The sequence below is a fragment of the Homo sapiens genome, chromosome 8 (genome assembly GCF_000001405.40).
Source record: "Homo sapiens chromosome 8, GRCh38.p14 Primary Assembly".
NCBI classification, from domain to species: Eukaryota; Metazoa; Chordata; class Mammalia; order Primates; family Hominidae; genus Homo; species Homo sapiens.
Window position 1 is genome coordinate 89,707,120 of NC_000008.11, and position 23,985 is coordinate 89,731,104.

The 23,985-nt window shown below is 39.4% G+C and overlaps 1 long non-coding RNA gene across 1 annotated transcript in view, besides 6 other annotated features; it reads right to left on the minus strand.

Moving 5' to 3' along the window:
* Nucleotides 1-10,279: 10,279 nt before the first annotated feature.
* Nucleotides 10,280-23,985, minus strand: part of PARAIL (palmitic acid regulated anti-inflammatory lncRNA) — a 40,313-nt gene continuing 26,607 nt past the window's right edge. Inside the window, exons 2-5 of the long non-coding RNA NR_125822.1 lie at nucleotides 18,399-18,522; nucleotides 17,510-17,847; nucleotides 14,896-15,037; nucleotides 10,280-10,609 (exon numbers count right to left, since the gene is read on the minus strand). This is a non-coding gene — a long non-coding RNA (palmitic acid regulated anti-inflammatory lncRNA). The remainder of the gene's footprint in view (nucleotides 10,610-14,895; nucleotides 15,038-17,509; nucleotides 17,848-18,398; nucleotides 18,523-23,985) is intronic.
* Nucleotides 18,585-19,134: an enhancer, noted in NCBI's record as "NANOG hESC enhancer chr8:90737932-90738481 (GRCh37/hg19 assembly coordinates)". NCBI's record gives its function as "activates a minimal SCP1, AML or CMV promoter by ChIP-STARR-seq in naive H9 embryonic stem cells {active_cell/tissue: H9 hESC(naive)}" and the evidence as "EXISTENCE:reporter gene assay evidence [ECO:0000049][PMID:30033119]".
* Nucleotides 18,710-18,759: an enhancer, noted in NCBI's record as "active region_27600". NCBI's record gives its function as "activates an Ori minimal core promoter by ATAC-STARR-seq in GM12878 lymphoblastoid cells {active_cell/tissue: GM12878}" and the evidence as "EXISTENCE:reporter gene assay evidence [ECO:0000049][PMID:35858748]".
* Nucleotides 18,790-18,839: an enhancer, noted in NCBI's record as "active region_27601". NCBI's record gives its function as "activates an Ori minimal core promoter by ATAC-STARR-seq in GM12878 lymphoblastoid cells {active_cell/tissue: GM12878}" and the evidence as "EXISTENCE:reporter gene assay evidence [ECO:0000049][PMID:35858748]".
* Nucleotides 18,890-18,989: an enhancer, noted in NCBI's record as "active region_27602". NCBI's record gives its function as "activates an Ori minimal core promoter by ATAC-STARR-seq in GM12878 lymphoblastoid cells {active_cell/tissue: GM12878}" and the evidence as "EXISTENCE:reporter gene assay evidence [ECO:0000049][PMID:35858748]".
* Nucleotides 22,334-22,383: a silencer, noted in NCBI's record as "silent region_19344". NCBI's record gives its function as "represses an Ori minimal core promoter by ATAC-STARR-seq in GM12878 lymphoblastoid cells {active_cell/tissue: GM12878}" and the evidence as "EXISTENCE:reporter gene assay evidence [ECO:0000049][PMID:35858748]".
* Nucleotides 22,584-22,633: an enhancer, noted in NCBI's record as "active region_27603". NCBI's record gives its function as "activates an Ori minimal core promoter by ATAC-STARR-seq in GM12878 lymphoblastoid cells {active_cell/tissue: GM12878}" and the evidence as "EXISTENCE:reporter gene assay evidence [ECO:0000049][PMID:35858748]".

Consider the following 23,985-nt stretch of genomic DNA (forward strand, 5'->3'; position numbering starts at 1 on the left):
CCCCGTCTCTACTAAAAATACAAAAAATTAGCCAGGCATGGTGGTGGGCACCTGTAGTCCCAGCTACTCAGGAGGCTGAGGCAGGAGAATGGCGTGAACTGGGAAGCAGAGCTTGCAGTGAGCTGAGATCGCGCCACCACACTCCAGCTGGGGTGACAGAGCGAGACTCCATCTTAAAAAAAAAAAAAAAAAAAAAAAAAAACTAGAGATCAGATATTATATATGTTCTCAAATTTTGTTCTTTTCTAACACTTGTTGCAAAGCTTATGAACTTTTGGACTGACATATAAATTCTTGAGTTGATTTGTCAATTTTTACCAAAGAGCTACCGGGATTTCAATAAACATGGAATCAGTTTGGGGACATTTGATATTTTAACAATTAATCTCCCAAGCTGTGAACAAGGTTTATATCTCCATTTATTAAAGTTTTATCTAATTTCTTTCAGTATATTTTGTGCTTTTGAGTATACACATTGTATACATATTTTATGACATTTATCCCTATAATTTTTAAATTTTATTGCCATCAAGATAAGTGCCATAAAAATGGCATTATTAAGTTAATGTAAAATCCCAATTGTCGATTGTAACTATATAGAAATATAATGAATTTCTGAATATTGACCTTGCATCCTGCAGCCTTGTGAAACTTACTTATTAGTTCCAGTAGCGTAATTCTTCAGTTTTTTTAAAAAGTGGATTATCATGTTATCTGCAAATAAAAACACTTTCTTTTCTCTATGTATTTTGTTTCTTTTTCTTGCCAAACTTCACTAGCTAGGAATCACAATAAAACACAGAAAGAAAGTAGTATATGTGGACAGGAGGTGAAATAGAAGTATATTGTTGAAGGTTTCATTCACTGTGTGGGAAATGATTTGTCATCTGGTGGTAGACTGTTGTGTTAGTTACCTATTGCTGAATAACAAAATACCCCAAACTTAGCAGCTTAAAACAGCAATAAACATTTATGATCTCCCACAGTTTCTGTGCATCTGGATGGGTTTAGCTGGGTGGTTCTGGCTAAGGGTCTCTCATGAAGTTGCAGTCAAGATGTGGAAAGGGGGTGGAGCCAAGATGGCTGAACAGGAACAGCTCCAGTCTACAGCTCCCAGCATGAGTGATGCAGAAGATGGGTGATTTCCGCATTTCCAACTGAGGTACTGGGTTCATCTCACTGGGGAGTGTCGGAAAGTGGGTACAGGACAGTGGGTGCAGCACACCAAGCGTGAGCCGAAGTAGGGGGAGGCATTGCCTCACCCGGGAAGTTCAAGGGGTCGGGGAATTCCCTTTCCTAGTCAAAGAAAGGGGTGACAGACGGCACCTGGAAAATCGGGTCACTCCCACCCTAATACTGCGCATTTCCAACAGTCTTAGCAAAGGGCACACCAGGAGATTATAGCCCACGCCTGGCTCGGAGGGTCCTATGCCCACGGAGCCTCGCTCATTGCTAGCCCAGCAGTCTGAGATCAAACTGCAAGATGGCAGCGAGGCTGGCGGAGGGGCGCCCACCATTGCCAAGGCTTGAGTAGGTAAACAAAGTGGCCAGGAAGCTTGAACTGGGTGGAGCCCACTGCAGCTCAAGGAGGCCTGCCTGCCTCTGTAGATGCCACCTCTGGGGGCAGGGCATTGCCAAACAAAAGGCAGCAGAAACCTCTGCAGACTTAAATGTCCCTGTCTGACAGCTTTGAAGAGAGTAATGGTTCTCCCAGCATGCAGCTGGAGATCTGAGAACGGATAGACTGCCTCCTCAAGTGGGTCCCTGACCCCTGAGTACCCTAACTGGGAGGCACCCCCCAGTAGGGGCAGATTGACACCTCACACAGCCGGGTACTACCCTGAGACAAAACTTCCAGAGGAAAGATCTGGCAGCAACATTTGCTGTTCACCAATACCCGCTGTTATGCAGCCTCCGCTGCTGATACCCAGGCAAACAGGGTCTGGAGTGGACCTCCAGCAAACTCCAACAGACCTGCACCTGAGGGTCCTGACTGTTAGAAGGAAAGCTAACAAACAGAAAGGACATCCACACCAAAACCCCATCTGTATGTCACCATTATCAAAGACCAAAGGTAGATAAAACCACTAAGATGGGGAAAAAACCGAGCAGAAAAACTGGAAACTCTAAAAATCAGAGTGCCTCTCCTCGTTCAAAGGAATGCAGCTCCTCACCAGCAACGGAACAAAGCTGGATGGAGAATGACTTTGACGAGTTGAGAGAAGAAGGCTTCAGACGATCAAACTACTCCGAGCTAAAGGAGGAAGTTCGAAACCATCACAAAGAAGCCAAAAACCTTGAAAAAAAATTAGATGAATGGCTAACTAGAATAACCAATGCAGAGAAGTCCTTAAAGGACCTGATGGAGCTGAAAACCAAGGCACGAGAACTACGTGATGAATGCACAAGCCTCACTAGCTGATTTGATCAACTGGAAGAAAGGGTATCAGTGATGGAAGATCAAATGAATTAATGAAATGAAGCGAGAAGAGAAGTTTAGAGAAAAAAGAATAAAAAGAAATGAACAAAGCCTCCAAGAAATATGGGACTATGTGAAAAGACCAAATCTACATCTGACTGGTGTACCTGAAAGTGACAGGGTGAATGGAACCAAGTTGGAAAACACTCTGCAGGATATTATCCAGGAGAACTTCCCCAATCTAGCAAGGCAGGCCAACATTCAAATTCAGGAAATATAGAGAACACCACAAAGATACTCCTCGAGAAGAGCAACTCCAAGACACATAATTGTCAGATTCACCAAAGTTGAAATGAAGGAAAAAATGTTAAGGGCAGCCAGAGAGAAAGGTCGGGTTACCCACAAAGGGAAGCCCATCAGACTAACAGCAGATCTCTCGGCAGAAACTCTACAAGCCAGAAGAGAGTGGGGGCCAATATTCAACATTCTTAAAGAAAAGAATTTTCAACCCAGAATTTCATATCCAGCCAAACTAAGCTTGATAACTGAAGGAGAAATAAAATACTTTACAGACAAGCAAATGCTGAGAGATTTTGTCACCACCAGGCCTGCCCTAAAAGAGCTCCTGAAGGAAGCACTAAACATGGAAAGGAAAAACCGGTAACAGCCACTGCAAAAACATGCCAAATTGTAAAGACCATCGAGGCTAGGAAGAAACTGCATCAACTAACGAGCAAAATAACCAGCTAACATCATAATGACAGGATCAAATTCACACATAACAATACTAACCTTTCATGTAAATGGGCTAAATGCTCCACTTAAAACACACACATTGGCAAATTGGATAAAGAGTCAAGGCCCATCAGTGTGCTGCATTCAGGAAACCCATCTCACATGCAGACACACACATAGGCTCAAAAGAAAAGGATGGAGGAAGATCTACCAAGCAAATGGAAAACAAAAAAAGGCAGGGGTTGCAATCCTAGTCTCTGAAAAAACAGACTTTAAGCCAACAAAGATCAGAAGAGACAAAGAAGGCCATTACATAATGGTAAAGGGATCAATTCAACAAGAGGAGCTAACTATCCTAAATATATATGCACCCAATACAGGAGCACCCAGATTCATACAGCAAGTCCTTAGAGACCTAGAAAGAGACTAAGACTCCCACACAATAATAATGGGAGACTTCAACACCCCACTGTCAACATTAGACAGATCAACGAGACAGAAAGTTAACAAGGATATCCAGGAATTGAACTCAGCTCTGCACCAAGCGGACCTAATAGACATCTACAGAACTCTCCATCCCAAATCAACAGAATATACATTCTTCTCAGCACCACACCACACTTATTCCAAAATTGACCACACACTTGGAAGTAAAGCACTCCTCAGCAAATGTAAAAGAACAGAAATTATAACAAACTGTCCCTCAGACCACAGTGCAATCAAACTAGAACTCAGGATTAAGAATCTCACTCACAACTGCTCAACTACATGGGAACTGAACAGCCTGCTCCTAAATGACTACTGGGTACATAACGAAATGAAGGCAGAAATACAGATGTTCTTTGAAACCAACGAGAACAAAGATACAAGATACAAGAATCTCTGGGAGACATTCAAAGCAGTGTGTAGAGGGAAATTTATAGCACTAAATGCCCACAAGAGAAAGCAGGAAAGATCCAAAATTGACACCCTAACATCACAATTAAAAGAACTAGAGAAGCAAGAGCAAACACATTCAAAAGCTAGCAGAAGGCAAGAAATAACTAAGATCAGAGCAAAACTGAAGGAAATAGAGACACAAAAAACCCTTCAAAAGATCAATGAATCCAGGAGCTGGTTTTTTTAAGAGATCAACAAAATTCATAGACCGCTGGAAAGACCAATAAAGAAGAAAAGAGAGAAGAATTAAATATATGCAATAAAAAATGATAGATAAAGGGGATATCATCACCGATCCCTCAGAAATACAAACTACCATCAGAGAATACTATAACTACCTCTACACAAATAAACTAGAAAACCTAGAAGAAATGGATAAATTCCTCGACACATACACCCTCCCAAGACTAAACCAGGAAGAAGTTGAATCCCTGAATAGACCAACAACAGGCTCTGAAATTGAGGCAATAATGAATAGTTTACCAACAAAAAAAGTCCAGGACCAGATGGATTCACAGCCGAATTCTACCAGAGGTACAAGGAGGAGCTGGTACCATTCCTGCTGAAACGATTCCAATCAATAGAAAAAGAGGGAATACTCCCTAACTTATTTTATGAGGCCAGCATCATCCTGATACCAAAGCCTTCCAGAGACACAACAAAAAAAGAGAATTTTAGACCAATATCCCTGATGAACATCCATGCAAAAATCCTCAATAAAATACTGCCAAACCAAATCCAGCAGCACATCAAAAAGCTTATCCACCATGATCAAGTGGGCTTCATCCCTGGGATGCAAGGCTGGTTCAACATATGCAAATCAATAAACATAATCCAGCATATAAACAGAACCAACGACAAAAACCATATGATTATCTCAATAGATGCAGAAAAGGCCTTCAACAAAATTCAACAGCCCTTCATGCTAAAAACTCTCAATAAATTAGGTATTGATGGGACGTATCTCAAAATAATAAGAGCTATCTAGGACAAACCCACAGCCAATATCATACTGAATGGGCAAAAACTGGAAGCATTCCCTTTGAAAACTGGCACAAGACAGGGATGCCCTCTCTCACCACTCCTATTCAACATAGTGTTGGAAGTTCTGGCCAGGGCAATCAGGCAGGAGAAGGAAATAAAGGGTATTCAATTAGGCAAAGAGGAAGTCAAATTGTCCCTGTTTGCAGATGACATGATTGTATATTTAGAAAACCCCATCGTCTCAGCCCGAAATCTCCTTAAGCTGATAGGCAACTTCAGCAAAGTCTCAGGATACAAAATCAATGTGCAAAAATCACAAGCATTCTTATATACCAATAACAGACAAACAGAGAGCCAAATCATGAGTGAACTCCCATTCACAATTGCTTCAAAGAGAATAAAATACCTAGGAATCCAACTTAAAAGGGACGTGAAGGACCTCTTCAAGGAGAACTACAAACCACTGCTCAAGGAAATAAAAGAGGATACAAACAAATGGAAGAGCATTCCATGCTCATGGGTAGGAAGAATCAATATCATGAAAATGGCCATACTGCCCAAAGTAATTTATAGATTCAATGCCATCCCCAACAAGCTACCAATGCCTTTCTTCACAGAATTGGAAAAAACTACTTTAAAGTTCATATGGAACCAAAAAAGAGCCCACATTGCCAAGTCAATCCTAAGCCAAAAGAACAAAGCTGGAGGCATCACACTACCTGACTTCAAACTATACTACAAGGCTACAGTAACCAAAACAGCATGGTACTGGTACCAAAACAGAGATATAGACCAATGGAACAGAACAGAGCCCTCAGAAATAATGCCACATATCTACAACCATCTGATCTTTGACAAACCTGACAAAAACAAGAAATGGGGAAAGGATTCCCTCTTTAATAAATGGTGCTGGGAAAACTGGCAGCCATATGTAGAAAGCTGAAACTGGATCCCTTCCTTACACCTTATACAAAAATTAATTCAAGATGGATTAAAGACTTAAATGTTAGACCTAAAACCATAAAAACCCTTGAATAAAACCTAGGCAATACCATTCAGGACACAGGCATGGGCAAGGACTTCATGTCTAAAACACCAAAAGCAATGGCAACAGAAGCCAAAATTGACAAATGGGATCTAATTAAACTAAAGAGCTTCTGCACAGCAAAAGAGACTACCATCAGAGTGAACAGGCAACCTACAGAATGGGAGAAAATTTTTGCAATCTACTCATCTGACAAAGGGCTAATATCCAGAATCTACAATGAACTCAAACAAATTTACAAGAAAAAAACAAACAACCCCATCAAAAAGTGGGCGTAGGATATGAACAGACACTTCTCAAAAGAAGATATTTATGCAGCCAACAGACACATGAAAAAATGGTCATCATCACTGGCCATCAGAGAAATGCAAATCAAAACCACAATGAGATACCATCTCACACCAGTTAGAATAGCAATCATTAAAATGTCAGGAAACAACAGGTGCTGGAGAGGATGTGGAGAAATAGGAACACTTTTACACTGTTGGTGGGACTGTAAGCTAGTTCAACCATTGTGGAAGTCAGTGTGGCAATTCCTCAGGGATCTAGAACTAGAAATACCATTTGACCCAGCCATCCCATTACTGGGTATATACCCAAAGGATTATAAATCATGCTGCTATAAAGACACAGGCACAGGTAAGTTTATTGCGGCACTATTCACAATAGCAAAGACTTGGAACCAACCCAAATGTCCATCGATGATAGACTGGATTAAGAAAATGTGGCACATATACACCATGGAATACTATGCAGCCATAAAAAATGATGAGTTCATATCCTTTGTAGGGACATGGATGAAGCTGGAAACCATCATTCTCAGCAAACTATCACAAGCACAAAAAAACCAAACACTGCATGTTCTCACTCACAGGTGGGAATTGAACAATGAGAACACATGGACACAGGAAGGGGAACATCACACACCAGAGCCTGTTGTGGGGTGGGGTGGGGAGGAAGGATAGCATGAGGAGATATACCTAATGTTAAATGACGAGTTACTGGGTGCAGCACAACAACATGGCACATCTATACATATGTAACTAACCTGCACATTGTGCGCAAGTACCCTAAAACTGAAAGTATAATAATAATAAATAAATAAAAGATGTCGAAAGGGGTTGCAGTTATCTAAACACTTTACTGGTGCTGCAAAATTTGCTTCCAAGATGGCTCACTCACGTAACTGGGAAGTTGATGCTGGGTCTTGGCTGGAGACTTCAGTTTCTCTCCATGTAAACTCTCTGTAGATGTGAGCATCCTCAGGACATGGCAGTTGGGTTTTCCTCAGAGGAGCAATGCAAAAAGGAGCAAGTTGGAAGCTCCAATATCTTTTTGACCTAGGCTTAAAATCCATACATTGTCAGTTCTCCATATTCTATTCTTTACAGAGTTTGGCCCTATGCCATGCAGGATGAGACTATATTAGAGTTGAACAGTAGAATGCAGAGACTGTTGGGGAGCATCTTAGAAGCTGCTTAACACAACTATGGTAAGTTACAGTGTCCTTATCATATACCTTACTTCTATATATGTTATAAAGCCAACAGTACATTATTTCTATTTTGCTTTAAGCAGTCAATTATCTGTTAAAGAGACTTAAAAACTAAGAAAATTAAGTATTTTTCATGTATCCATATATTTATGATTTCTGGCATTTTTTATTCCTATGTGAATACACAAGTTTCCATCTGGCATCATTTTCCTTCTGCCTGAATAACTTCCCTTAATATTTCTTATATTTAGTTTGCTGACAATGAATTTTACCTCTTTTGTTTGTCTGGAGAATTGTTTATTCACCTTTATTTTTAAAAAATCAAAAACCTGGACATAGAATTCTAGATTGACAGGTTTTTTTTCTTTCAACACTTGGAGGACTGTCATCCAGTTTGTGTAGTTTCTGATGAGAAGTTTCTGTTGAGACAGTGCCTTTTTTTTTTCCTCTGGCTGCTATTATGATTTTTCTCTTTATCAAAACTGGTTTTCTAAAATTCAATTACAATGTGTATTGGTGTGATTTTCTTAGGATGCTTTTCCGTCTTAGGATTCTTTGAGTTTCTAGGATCTATGAGTTTATACTTTTCATGACAGTTGGACAAACATTTGGCCATTATGTCTTCTCTTTTTACACTCCTCCACCTTGCTTCAGTGGTTCCAATTATATTAGATCTCCTGACTTTGTTCCTGAGGTCACTGATGCTCTGTTCATTTTTCTATTAGTCATTTTTCTCCCTGAGCTTCATTTTTGATAGATTCTATTGCTCCTTCAATTTCACTCATCTTTTCTTCTGCAGTATCTAATCAGCTGTTGATCCCGTTCAATCTATTCATTTCAGAGATGAAATGAAGAATCTATTGTATTTTTCATCTCTATAACTTTGATTTGTCTTCTTCTATTATCTATATCTCTCTTCATCATGCTCATGCTTCCCTATACCTTACTCATGATGTGAAGCATATTTACAATAGACAATTTTAGTCATTACATCACCTCTGTCATTTCTGGTGCTGTTTCTATTTATTGACATTTTTCTTCTGATTATGGGTTAGGTTTCTTATTCTTTCTACTGTCTGGTAAATGTTTTATTGCTTTGCGACATTGAAACCTCACTTAATAGGGTGGTAGATTTTGTTGTAACCCTTCTAGTAGTCTTAGGCTTTGTTCTAGCACGCAGTTATGTTACTTAGTAGCAGTCTACCTCTTTTGAGGCTTGTTAGGGAAATCCAGAGTATATTTTAGTCCAGGGCTAATTTAGCCTCACTACTAACTTCACTACTGAGGTATTCTTCTGAGGATTCTATTCAATGCCCCTATATAATACAGTGTAATAAGGTCTTTCCACTCTAACTGATGGGAACACAAACTCTTCCCAGCCTTAAGTGAGCTTCAGGAATTATTTGGCTTATTGCCTCCCAGCAGTTCTTACCCCTGCCAGGGGTATCTTTCTCTCTCACATGCACATACCAAGGCTCAAGGGACCCCTTTGTGATCTCTGGGTATATTCTCTCTTATCTCTCTCTCTCTCTCTTCACCAACCCCCCCCCCCCACCCAAAATCTCTATCCACTTTAGTCTCCATGAACTCTAATTTCTAATCCCTCCACTAAGGTAGACTGCCAGGATCTGTTCGAGGTTTCCCTCTGATATGGTTTGGCTCTGTGTCCCCACCTAAATCTTATCTCAAATTGTAATCCCCCATGTGTCAAGAAAGGGACTTGGTGGGAGGTGACTGGATCATGTGGGCAGTTTTCCCTATGCTGTTCTTGTGATAGTGAGGGAGTTCTCATGAGATCTGACGGTTTAAAAGCGGCAGTTTCCCCTGCACTTTTGCTCTCTCTGTCTCTCTCTCTCTCTCTCTGTCTCTCTCTCTCTCCTGCCACCTCTTAAAGACATGCCTTGCTTCCCCTTCACCTTCCACCATGATTGTAAGTTTCCTGAGGCCTCCCCAGCCATGAGGAACTGTGAGTCAATTAAACCTCTTTCCTTTTTAAATTACCCAGTTTCAGGTCATTCTTTATAGCAGCGTGAAAACAGACTAATAAACCCTCCATCTATTAAAGCTCGAAAACTGCCTCTAGGTGGCAAGCCAAGCTGAGGTAATAATAAGGTTCAATTTGTTTATTATGCCTGAAAACATTGTTTTGTCCAATTTTCTATTTGTTTGAGGTACACAGTAAATGTAGTCTCTGTCATCCCATTATAGCCAGAGCAGAAATGATCTCCAGAAATCTTTTTTAAATGTCAAATTACTTGCTGGATACCTCTTTTTACAAATATAGGAAGATACCTCTACTTCCAAATATAAGACGCATATGAAACTTAACATATATAAAGTTTAACTCTGCTCTCCTCTGCATGCCCTGAATCAAGTAAACCTGCCCCTTCTTTCATGTTCCCCGTGTCAGTAAATGGCAACTCAATCATTCCCATTGTTTGGACCAAAATTTCAAAATTTCTCTTTCACACTTAATAGCTAAACCATCAGCAAATTCTTTCAAATCTTGTCCTCAAATGTATATACAGACTCTAATCCGATCGCAACCATCCTAGTTTACTTCAGCTCATCATCCCCTCTTTCCCTGGATTATTGCAGTAGCTCCTGTATCAATCAGGTTCACTGCAGTAATCCTGCATAAAAATTATTCCTCCAATCTCAGTAGCTTTCAATGCAATTTATTTCATGCTCATTGGTCTACAAGTCTGCTGTGGCTTTGCTATCGTTGGCTGGGCTTTGCAGGGTCATCCTGGCTTGATTGTAGGCTGCTGTTCAGGTTCAGGTTTGCTCCATATCTCTCGTTCTGAGGCCCAGGCTTAAGGGCACTGATTGCTCACAGTATTCTTTTGGCAGAAGCACAAAAGGGCTGGAAGAAATTTGCTGGGTCTTTTAAGGCTTTGCCTCCCCACTGGTACAGAGTCACTTTTCACTCACATTCCATTGACTACAGCAAGTCAAATAGCCAAATCCAGTGATGGTGGCCTGGGGAAATCTTATGGGGAGGACAGTAGGGTGAATATTTGCTGAATAATAATCTACCACAGCCTCCTAATTGCTCTTCCTGTTCTTTCTCTTGTGCTTTTCAGTCTGTTTTCAACATAGAATACAGAATGTTCCTTTTAAAACACACCAAGATCCTTCTGTGCGAAAAACCCATCAATGACTGCTCATTTCCCTCAGAGTCTATACAGCAGTCTACAAAGCCTTAGTCACTCCTGCATCTGGTCACTTTTCTGGCTTCATGTTCTACTATTGCCTCCTTCCTCTCTGAGTATCATTAACACAGGCCTCTTTCTTTGCTAAGCTGGAACAGGCCAGGCAAATTCCTGTCTCAGGCCTTTGCAGTTGCAATGTACATATCTGAAACATTATTCTGCCCCCCCCCACCCCCAGTTGTCTCTCATGCTGTTCAGATCTCTGCTCAAATGTGACCTTAGTGAGGTCTTCCAAGAGTACCTTATTTGTAATTTCAAACTTTTTGATACTTTCTGGCCCTCTTCTTTGCATTACTTTTCTCCAGAGCACTTACTATACTTTGTTTTATTTATTGTCTGTCTCCTCCCACTAAAATGTGATATCCAGGTTCTAAGGGTTCTAAGGATGCTGTTGGAGAAACAGACTTGGGAAAGTACTGCTCCAAGCTCAAGCTGCTCTCACTAATGATCCTGTTTCTCGTCTTCATGTTAGGTGTTTTCTTAATAATGGCCACAAGGTGGCATGCATAATACCTAATTCCAAAAACATAGCCAAACATACTCTTAGGAGTTAAAGTTATATCATCCAGTATATGTAACTTTAGTTCACAATGGAAACAGCAGAAATTTTCCCAAATAAAATTTGGAAAAAATAAACAAGGAAAAAAGCAGCCCAAACCACAACTACTATCACCACACTGACCACTGACACCACAAGATACACAGTTTATCTTTCTCATTATGAAAATTTAGCATGTGAAAGCACAGGTTGAGGATTATTCTGGAATTTTCTTCAGGTCTTTGTTGTTTGCTTGGTTGCTTGTTTGCTTGCTTTTTAAATCTCTGTAGCTACTAAGCTTTCCTTTTGAGTGTGACAGTGGTAAGGGTCTCTCTTATGTCTTCGGGCATTTTATTTCAAAAGTTCACATGATGTAATCTTTATTATGCTTCTCCCCTCATAACAGGTAAGTCCTTGAGTTCACGACCATGAAGAAGTGATTAGTCAATTATCTGAGAACCACTTCCTCCTAAGTGAGAAGAAGAAACAAGCCAAAGATAGAAGAGGCAGCAGTGTGGGAAAAATTAAATGAAGAGACCTTCCCAAATTGTTCTCTTTTCCTGGTTCTCCTGTAAGGTGAGAATGGGCTGTATACACTCGGAAATGCATGCAACATCTATGGAGTGGTTATCTGTTACTCATTATATTGTAGTTCTCTGTTGTCATCGCTGAATCTCTGGTAAATGCTTGTTAGAGGCTACAGTGTGATCTCAACTGTACTGCAGGAAATTCAGGAAGGGTTGTATGCCCTAAATAGGCCTGGGTGGGAAAGGTGGAAACATCCACATTTTCCTTGGTGCCAGGGTGGGAGTGGGAACAGTGACTAATGAGTTCTTTGAGGAGCAGAGGGCAGAAGTCCTGAGTGCAAGATCCAGCTGTCCCTTCCTCCACAGATCCTCATTCCACTGCCAACTTTCAAAGTACTAATGAATAAGGAATCTCATTGGTTTCCTTTTAAGGGGCATCAAAATTCTGGTTCCATGTAAAATTTCTTATAGGTTTATACAATGTCTCTGCATTTTTAGCACCCTCTGTGTTTTCCATTGAATCTCATTTTTGAACAATTTCCCTTTCAAAAAAAGCAAAGCATTTTCCTAGTCATTCAAAACCATAACCAAGTTACTTGAAACATACTTGGAAGTACTCAAAAACACAGCCTGAATTTCATAAACCACGGCCTGAATTCCATCCTTTATATATTCACTAGTAGGTACGTGGCTAGAGAATAGTAGGCAATCACATTCTGCTTCCTAATTAGAAAGCAGCATATCTAAAGAACTACATTTGATATGTCATGAATAGAGGGCTCAAAATCTAAGCCAAAAGTAAAAAAATACATTATAACTAGTGATAAGAACATGTTGTACCAGAAAAGTAAATCCTCATAAGAAATGACAATCTACAATTTAATGAGCTCAGAATTACTCTAATCTTTTAATCTCCAAATATTCCTCAATATTAAAAGCCATTATATGAAGGTACATACATGAATCAGATGAAATAATTCACAAAGGCACTCAGAGAATCTTGGACTCTTATTAGCTTCCTTAAGTCTATAATATTATTCAGAAAAGGAACTAGGTGGAAGTCTACATATTATTTTCTGAACTTGATTGTTAAGACTAAACTGGTTATACATGTCTAGCTTCTCTAACTGGCCTGACATTCAAATAAAGACTACATAAATACACTATTTATTTATGCACACTTGTACACGGTTGTAACAATTTTTATATAAATATAATAAATATTTTTAGAATAATATAGAAATATACATGATCACGCTGTAAAACAATCCCAGTTACCAAGTTCTATTCTCTCTTATGTCTAAGTCACTGTCTTAGACTATAGTTTATGCTATGTGAAGTCAACTCTTTGCAGCCACAAGACAGCCTTTAGTTCTGTGCTCTACTATACTAAATTCATGGTATTTAGTTATGAAATTCTGGACTTTTGACAATCCTCTAGCAGAAAAGCCATGGGTTTCCATATGCCCTCGAATATAGCACTTCTGAAACTTTACTGTGTATATGAATCACCTAAAAACCTTCTGAGAAATATTCTTAGTTCACATTTCAAAGGGCTCCGTGCAAACAAAGCAGCAATGGCTGGAAATTATTCGGCCTTTGTTGTTTCCCTGTTTCTACCTCTGCTCAGTGACAAAAAACTAAAGAACATACATATTGTCCTTAATGTATGACTGCAACTATTAACACTAGGTAAATTATAATCCATAGTCCAGTCTAGTGTTTGTAAAGAAATCCCCATTCTAACTGGCTAGTCTCCCTGCTATGATGTAATCTTTTCTTGTGTGTCATTCCAGTCCCTTACAGTAATTTCCTAATTTCAGGGGAAAATTGAGTTTGCCTCTCAAAACAAAGCTGATACATGGTATTGCAAAGAAAAGAACAAGATTTCAATGCATCTTATTTTAATAGTCTATTATGAAGCAAGTCACTACAACCAGCCTTTACAAAACAGCTTATGTTAAAAGTTGGGATATTCTGAAAGGTAGTTAAAGAGTAATTTTTATTTGTTCTGCACAAAATAACCTTTCCTCTAATTTAAACAATGCAAGTGTAAACTAACAGCATAATCCCAATATATAACTCTTTCCAAATCCAGAGAAAGAAATGAAGTGATGTCTTTTAACCATCTTTCTGTCTCTAAGAATAAGAGATTATAGAAGATGAAATGTAGGAGACACAGTATGAGATCTTCTCAGAGAGCTTTAGGGCCCCTGCTACTTGTAGATAAGAATGAGCTAATTAGTGGGTTTGAGCAACAGGGATTTGATGATGCCACACCAGGAAGACCCTCAATCAGTGCCCATTGCAGGAAAGAGTGCCAAGGTGTTCTCATCAGCCCAGCTGAAAGCACTTTTCCTGGAAACAGACAATATAAACATGAACTTCAAAAGGACACGAGCAAGTATTATTCTTTCCATTTTGGGGACTTTACACAGTGTTCAGTGAATAGTGGGTACTTCATTAATAACTCAAGACTTTTCAAAGCCTAGAATCAGAGCATTTGACAAATGCTGATTAGCACCGGAGCTGGCATTTGTCAAGCTCTGACTTTTAACTCCTTTCCCCTCAGAATATCTGTGGTCCAATAAAATATCCCTGCCCCAGAAGGCAGGTGTGAGAGAGTACTGTGTTTGGCAAAAAGGAACACCGAGCTCTCTCTAAAAGGCAAATATACTTCTGCTTTTTATTTGTTCTAACAAAGACAATGGCCATCCGTCATGTTTCAGAGGAGCAGAGGACATCCACATGCATACTTGGAGGCCACTTCCCCAATCTTTGCTGCAATCCCCTTGTATCTGCCCACTGGAGACCAAGAAGATACACAGTTCAGCTCCTCTAATCTTTTCACAAATATAACAACGCTTAGGTGGGTTTGTAGAATCTTGGGGTAATCTCATGCCTAGCAGTTAATTACCAGTTCCTTGGTGCGCCTTACAAAACTACACTCACTAAGTAATCACACATGACATGCTCATTCATTTAGGCCACCACCTACCTCAAACATTGTTCAAGACTTGAGAGAGGTGCATCTCCATGAAGAATTATTGGCACTATTTTCTCTTCTACTTAGAGTCACAGGACAGCAGAGCCATATGCCACAAACAAAAATCAAACCAAAATAACATAAAATATTACCACTGTTAAGACGAGAAAAAGAATATGTTAAGATGGGGCAGGAATGCTGAACACACCTCTTTCCTTTCCCTGACTTTTTAAAACACTGCTACGTCCTTGTCAAATTCTGTTTGAGAAGTTAGACTCACACGCTTCCCAAATCTTAAAGCCTAGGAATACATTTTCCAGTAATACAGTAACTAGCGACAAAATTACTCTTCAGTCAAGCAAGTTGAAAGAAGTATGGAATTCATTTTAAATGGGTTATTAGCTGAATACTAAAATCAATCGTTCAATGTCCCAGGATTTTATCAATTAGATTTAACTGTAATTTAAGACAGTCATTAGCTTCCTAAATTCTTAAACTTTCAGAGCTTATAAAAGCAACACAGCCTGGCTGTGTATTTCAATCACCAAGTAGAGTCAAAACGTGTTTCAAGAGATCACTAAAATGCCTGCTGGAACTGAGGAAGGGAAAAAACAAGATAAAAACAAACACTAGCAAAACCGATACCCTAGTCACCTAATAAGCTTTTAGACAACAGATCTCCCTCCAGATTCTTGCAAGATTTCTTCTTTGACCTGACTCCCTTTAGATATAATAATTTATATGGTGCCCCTACTATCAGGGTTTAAGTGAGTCATCGCTTTGTTCTCTATATGTCAAAAGCACTCAGTACCTTCCACATATTCCTCTCTTGAAATTCAGAGTGGAACAAGTCACAAAACTTGTTTTCCCTCAGAGATAAGGTTATGCCAAATCAGCCAAGTCCCTGAGAAAAAGGCATCCCCAGTATTTTCATGTACTGGTACCATTTATTATAAAGGGAGACTTTTTAATTTTGTTGATTTGTTTGTTTTGAGGGGCCACATAAATTACTGTAAAATTGCTTTAGATTTCACACTCAGGCAGCGACACACAGTAGCTAAGAGACTAGACTTTGTCAGACAGAATGGGAATCTGGTAGGTTTTACCACTTACTAACCCACATAACATTGGGAAAGTAACATTAGCTAATTGTTAATTACTAAGGCACTGTTCAAAGTGCTTAACTTGAATGAATTCATTTACTCCTCAAAAGTCCCTATGAGATAGGATCCTATAAATGAGGTAACTGAGGTAAAAACAGTAAGTAATATACTCAAGATCACAGAGCTGGTAAAATAAAGAACTGAGAATAAACTCAGGTAGCCCTGTTGCTAAAGCCTATATTCTTAACCACTTCATTGGTGGTTTTTAAAAAATTTAAATACAACCCACTCCAAGAAGTAATTTTTTAAGGGCTGGGTGTGGTGGCTCACACATGTAATCCCAGCACTTTGGGAGGCTGGGGTGGGCAGATCACCTGAGGTCAGGAGTTCGAGACCAGCCTGACCAACATGGAGAAATCCCGTCTCTACAAAAAAAAAAAAAAAAAAAATTATCTAGGCGTGGTGGCACATGTCTGTAATTCCAGCTACTCAGGAGGCTGAGGCAGGAGAATCGCTTGAACCTGGGAGGTGGAGGCTGCAGTGAGCCGAGATCGCACAATGCACTCCAGCCTGGGCAACAAGAGCAAAACTCCGTCTCAAAAAAAAAAAAAAGTAATTTTTACTAGGACTCATTGTAAGAAATATGTTCTGTAACACAACCCAGTACATACACATATGTGTTTATTTTATAGACATGATAAGATATATATATAATTGAAACCAAAATTTGATGAAGCTATGCCTACTCTTACTTCCTGAAATGCAATGATATTTCATATTCTATTTTATTGTTTAATAACTACTGATCACTCCCTACAAAATTGATTTCAAAATCCACTGAGAGTCATGACCTGAAGTTTGAAAACAAGAAACATTTATTTTTACCACCATGGAAAATTTTGGAGGATTAAGTAAGATAACATACGCAGAGCATTTAGCATAACTCCTGGCACATACCATGTGCTAAATTCATGGTAGCTATTTTTATGTATCTTTTTGAAAACTAGCTGCAATTGTGGAAGGCAGGGACAATGAGGGGAAAACCCTGACTGGGCTATAGATGAATTTATTGTCAGTTAGGTCTGTCCTTGGTAGTGAGATGGGGAATTTCTCCAGTATCTTTAACTTGTGCTGCAATGGAAATGTGTATGCAGAAAGAGAGCTGACTCATGGTTATCTCTTCTCCACTACAAAAAATTGCAAATTACAAGTTATTGTGCCTCACCACTGGAAACCTCAGTAAATTCCAAATTATTGATCCATATTTACATCCAGTACTTACACTGGATACGATGATGTATACAGAACTGGTCTTCAAAAGGAGTCCTGCTGGGAAGAAGTGTTCATTTTTTGTTGATGCTTTATCAAATTACCACAAACTTAGTGGCTTAAAACAATGCAAATTTATTATCTTATAGTTCTAGAGGTCAGAAATCTGGACAGAGTCTCACTGAGCTAAAATCATGGTGTCAGTAGGGCTGGGTTGCTTTCCAGCAGTTCTAGGTGAGAACCCATTTCCTTACCTTTTCCAACTTCTTGAAAGAAGCCACCTGTATTGCTTGGCTCATGGCCCCTTCTTTCATCCTCAAAGCCAGAAACAGCAGGTTGAATCCTTCTCACATCACGTCACTCCAACTCTGACACTGACTCCATTGTCACATATCCTTTTCTGGCTCTTCTGCCTCTCTTCCATCTTTGAAAAACCTTTGTGATTACACTGGGTCCAGCTGAATAATTCAGGATAATCTCCCCATTCAAGATCCTTGACTCAATCACATCTTCAAAGCCCTCTTGCCATGTGAGGTAATATCAGAGGTGCTGGAACATTTGGTGGGGTTGGGGCAGTAGGCAACTATTCTGCCTAACACAGGACATAAACCACAAAAAAGAGCAAATAAGATGCAACAACAATAATGATAACACTGAACATTTACTATATGGCAGGCATTGTGCTGAGTAAATTATTTGCCTTGACTCACTTTCTAGGTGAGAAACCAAGACTCCCAAAGATAATGCAAAGTACAGAGTTATACAGATAGAAAGTGGCAAACCCAGGTCTGCCTGACTTCAAAGATCATACTCTCAACCACTTTACTACACATAACAAAATACCAAATCTATACACAATTAGTGGTTTGCAACTTTTCTCTATCAGGAATTCCTTTTGCTATTTTCCCTCCAGGGACCTGATCTTGAAAAATTTTGTAAATTAAACAGCAAAACATTTTATTAACCTAAGCCAAACTTCTGATTCCAACATCTGATAGCTTTGAGCTAAACTCTTTGTCTCTTTTGGGACTTACATAGTTCTAACCCCCTCAAAAAAAATGCAATTAACATTTCATTTTACATATCTTGGCATCATTTTGGAATCCTAAAAACAGGAACTCAAATAACCACCTTTATAGATACCTGATGAGTTGTTTCAGGTTGAAGTAATGATCCAAGAGTTCAGAGAAGGAGATTGATGGTGGTGGTGTAGTCAGAAGAAGTGGAATATAACCTCAGTCTCAAAGAAGCAGAAATTTCCAATGAACTAGAGAAGAAGGAAGAATACAAATAGCGTCTAGGAAGTGAGAACAAGTAAATCTAGGGAAGCTTGTTAGGAAAAACTGGAAAAGAAAATTAAGTAGAGAATAAATAAAGCATTCAGGCTTTGAAACACAGGTAAATACAGTTACATTTAACCAGATAGGAAAATACAGAATCTGGAAAGTTTCTGGGCCACAAAGTGCCACACAGTAAAATCAGGCATCTGCTCCTGGCATGCTTAAGAGCTCAGAATAAAGGACTTCCCCATTCTGCCCCTTCCCCCACTGTAAAGCTCACTGGCTTAAAAAACTGCTCCTTCTGCTACTATCTACCTCATTCTAAGCATCAACTCTAGGTGGGGCTGGTGCCTAGGCATTTTATAATTACTTTTCTATGTCTGCCTAACTTGGCTGAGAACCTACTTCAGAACTGACTCAAAAATCTCACAGATGCTGTCATTCACCCTCAGGATCTGTGTTTAATAATAGAGTCACAAGGCCTATGCAATCCAACTCAGCCCAGGGTCTGGCTTAGCCAATGTCTGCCAGCTGGTCTCATCCCCACACCCCAGGCCCCCACTTCATCACCAGTACATTGGCATCAATATTTATCTTTTCAAATTGGCATGCAATTTAAAAGAATGTTTTTATCTCACAGATCAGCAGGTATCCTATTATTATCTAGTTTTATGCTGATTTTTTAGGAGCTAACTAATGAAAAGACTCAATCATTGTTTTTGTGGGAAGATGTTGAAACTTTACCCTTTCTGGGCAATCTGTGCTTCACTATTGTTTCACTATATTTGTAATATTCAAAACCTCAATAGTCAAAACAAGCATCCCATAATGCCAAAGCAGCCAACCCATTGCATTAGTGCTATGAGTGGTAACTGAGGCAAAAGAAGACCCTTAGAATTCTCTAAATGTTTTGAGGTTTAGGGAAAGAGTTGTATTAGAAAACAATCCTTAATCAGGTTGAGATTTAACTGCATTCAAAGTCAGTGTTAAATTCTTGCTAAGAGATTTGATGTTATACATGAGATTATATAAACAGGTACAAGTCACAGCAAATACAGGAGAGATAATAAACCAAAACTGACTGTCACAACTAGATCCTGAAAGCCAGTTTGGTAACTCTGGCACATTTTGCCAATTTCCATGTATAAGATCACATGCTACACTGTATGAATGAAAGTATTACATCCAATTAACTGATCTGCCTGTCATATGTTAGTCAGTAGAGAAATATTTATTGAACACCCCACAGATGAGTAATTTTAGAAACTATGTTAATAGCAAAACATCTAAAGGTAGAATAATTGCTACTTTTTCTGCATATGCCTAGCACAGTGTTCACCCTCAAAACAACACTAAGCTGGAAAAGAGAAAACCTTAGAGCAGAGCCAGGATCCAAAACTAAAATTAATTAATGTACCACAGTTCATGAAGCAGTTCCACATGCATTATCGTATTCACTCCTCCTATAACTCTTATAAATGAGAAAAGTGAGTTTCAGCAAGGATGAGCAATGTGAATACTAAAATAGAAACTGAACTTAAAACCAAGCACAATCCTGTTAACATGTTTTTATATGTGTGATTTAGGTTAGGCATACATTATGCAGATTTTTAGAGCCTTTGCACATCTGCCTACAAGTTATGAATACAAAATTACTAATTCATATTATGGTACTCACCTATTAAAACATTTTATTGCCCCAGAGTATAAGAGGATGCACACATGATTAACCATGACCATACATTAAAAATGTACCATCCAGACTCTGGAAAAACTTTTTGTTGTCTGTGGTAGCAAAAATAGTCATCTCGTTTAAACTGCACCTTCAGATCTTCTCTTTCCATAAATTTTCCTCGATAATTTATTCCCTACAAAATACTACTGATTTGATTCTTCATTCACTACCTCCCTAGTCTTCTTCTCATTTTAGCATGAATATTACTGAATCTCTTTACAGTGTTTCTGTTAAATATTTGTGTAGATATACATATGTATACTCTGCTGTCTTCCATGTAAGCTGCTTAATAACTAAGCTATCTTAGACATTTAATTTAGATGTGTGTACCATTTGATTACTCACTAAATAGAAATTTACATAATCCCTTTATTCTAACAAGTTTACCACCTTATCACAAAGCAAATCTAAAGAAAACTGCAAACCTGGCAAGGTGGCTCATACCTGTAAAACCCAGCAATTTAGGAGGCCGAGGTGGGCGGATTGCCTGAGCTCAGGAGTTTAAGACCAGCCTGGGTGATATGGTGAAAACTTGTCTCTATAAAAAATACAAAAATTGGCCAGATGTGGTGGTGCATGCCTGTAGTCCCAGCTATTTGGGGTGCTGCGGTGGGAGGATTACCTGAGCCTTGAGCGGTCCAGGCTGCAGTGGGCCATGTCTGAGCCACTGCACTCCAACCTGAGTGACAGAGTGAGACACCGTCTCTAAAACATATTAAAATAAATAAAACTGGAAATTTATGTTATTTGGTTCTGATGTTTACATGTCCAGCTATGGGCTCTGAAACAGCACCAATGCCATAGACAAAATCCTTAGAGAAGTCAGAGGAGCCACCTCTCTGACTGAGATAGAGAGAGGGCTCCTGGCTGAGTAATAACTACTGTATGAATTTGTCAATGTCCTCTAGTCAAAGACCACCAGCAACACATCTGCAGTTCTATAAAACTGGGTTTATTAATTCATTGCAAGGGGGAGAAACAAATACCATGGGAGACCCTTGAGCATATCAGTAAGAAGGTGTTAGAAAAAACTTACAGGATTTGAGTTTGTGGTAGGTGATTCGGGGGAGCTTTCAAGAAAATGGGGATCTTCCCTGGACTGGATGTTGTACAGAAACAGGGGGAATTCCCTGATTAGGTATCTTAATTATTCTTATCTAAACATTGAAAGGAATGAAGTAAGCTAATGCTATAATTGGAAAGAATCAGCAGTTATTCATTATTAGCCAGGAAAGGGGAATGTTCACTCATTTTCATGGATTGGACAGTGTTCTTATTTTTCTCTGTTCTGAAATGATCATGAAGTAGTCTAATTTCCATCTTGCTCCATTATAGTCACAAAGAGATCATGTGTGAAGTTTGTGTTCTGTGAAAATGTATATATTCAGAAAGAGAACTCCACAGCTTCACTGTGAGTGCTAAGCCAAGTCTTAGCCAGTAGTGCAAACTAGATAAGAAAGCTTTGCTCAAAGGGCAGAATTGGCCAGAAAACAACACTTATTATTGTCATTATTTACGAATATTGACAGGCTTATAAAGTCCTTATATATTCATTGTGTAACTTGAGCCTCTCAGAACAATCTTGGAAGATAAATAGACCATAGTACCTCCACATTGCACAACTTCAGGGGCCCCAATGATCATGTATTCCATGTGAATGATACCTCCCCACTGTGAACAACATCCCCACTGGAGTTGTACAAAAATGGCTGCCCTGGAAGGGCAGACATTTCTATTCTGTTTGACAACTATTAAAATTGAGCCAAAGAAGGTTCCTGAGTGCTCTTTATGTCCCAATAAACTCCACAGTTTTGTCATGTTCAGCTGCTGACGTTGGATCCCTGATGCAGTCATAGTTCCCCCTTCCAGAGAATTGCACCAGCCCGCCCTGTGATGACCTAGATTACACAGGCTACTACAATAAGAACAGCTCCGCCTTCTTCTACAACTGTATCTGCCCAAAACAGGATGTTAAAAAGGTTACTGAACTTATAACCTCCTTTCACAGTCACTTCTTAAGAAGTGTGTGTGTGTGTGTGTGTGTGTGTGTGTGTGTTGCCTTTTTTTTTTTTTTTTTTTGAGACGGAGTCTCGCTCTGTCGCCCAGGCTGGAGTGCTGTGGCGCGCTGGAGTGCAGTGGCGCGATCTCGGCTCACTGCAAGCTCCGCCTCCCGGGTTCACGCCATTCTCCTGCCTCAGCCTCCGGAGCAACTGGGACTACAGGCGCCCGCCACCACGCCCGGCTGATTTTTTTGTATTTTTAGTAGAGACGGGGTCTCACCGTGTTAGCCAGGATGGTCTCGATCTCCTGACCTTGTGATCTGCCCGCCTCAGCCTCCCAAAGTGCTGGGATTACAGGCGTGAGCCACCGCGCCCAGCTAAAAAGTTAATATACCTTAGTATATTTTGTTTATGACCCAGGAGTGACAGGTGAAAAATACAATTTTGAATTCTGAAAAAAAATTAAAAAGCAAAATATCCCGCTGAATTCAAAGGCGAAAATGTTTAAATGCAAGCGAAATACTAGTTACATGTTCTTCCACATTCTTGGAAACCTGCCAAGTAAAATATAAAAGGAAAATGGAATTTCCTAAGTAGTGTCTATTAATAATAAATATTTTTCCAATTATGTCTTTTTGTAGCTGGGAAATTCCCTCTTGTCACTAAGTTTCTCTCCTCAGACATTACAGAAAGTAAAACCGAAACTGAAGCACTCTACTGATAAATCAAGTAGTTCCCAGAAATAATATGAACTTTGATTCAAACAGATGTGTTCAGAAATCCTATCTCCATAATTTACAAAACTGTGACTTCTGGCAATTTACCTAACCTCTACAGACCTCACTTTCATTAAATTAACATACATACTTCTCTCGCCTATTATTATGAGTGTAACCTGGAATTCCCTATCAGAACCTGGACTTCCCTATTCTAAAATTAATGACGCTGTAACTGCATATTGTGGTGTCTATCTTCTTTAGAACACTAAAAACATTTCAGGGCAGAGACCACATGCATTTTGTTATTCTTGTATTTCCATCACCTAGCCCAATGGTACATAAAATATCTGTTGTTTTTTGTTTGTTTGTTTCATTAGGAGAGACGGACTAGAGATCTGCAGTATCAGGAAGGTCCATTTTTCATCCACATGCCTTTTTATAATGTTTGGATGTCTTACCATGCCTATTTGATACATGTATTTCTTTTTAATTAGAAATCATAACAGAGGGCCAGGCACAGTGGCTCATGCCTATAATCCCAGAAATTCGGGAGGCCAAGGCAGGTGGATCACTTGAGGTCAGGAGTTCAAGACCAGCCTGGCCAAAATGGTGAGACCCCATTACTACTAAAAATATGAAAATCAGCTGGGTATGGTGGCACATGCCTGTAATCCCAGCTACTCAGGAGGCTGAGGTGAGAGAACTGCTTGAGCCTGGGGGACGGAAGTTGCAGTGAGCTGACATAGCGCCACTGCACTCCAGCCTGGGTGATAGAGAGAGCCACTGTCTCAAAAACAAAAAAAAGAAAGAAATCATAACAGAGAGTCAAGGGAAATTAAGATCAAGATTTATCTTGTTCCCAAATAAAGGAACAAGGTAAATCTACATAAACCAATCTGAATGAATTGGAGATATGTAGTTTATCTGACAGGGAATTCAAACTAATGGTATTACAGATCCTCAATGAAGTCAGGAGAGCAACACAAAAACAAAATG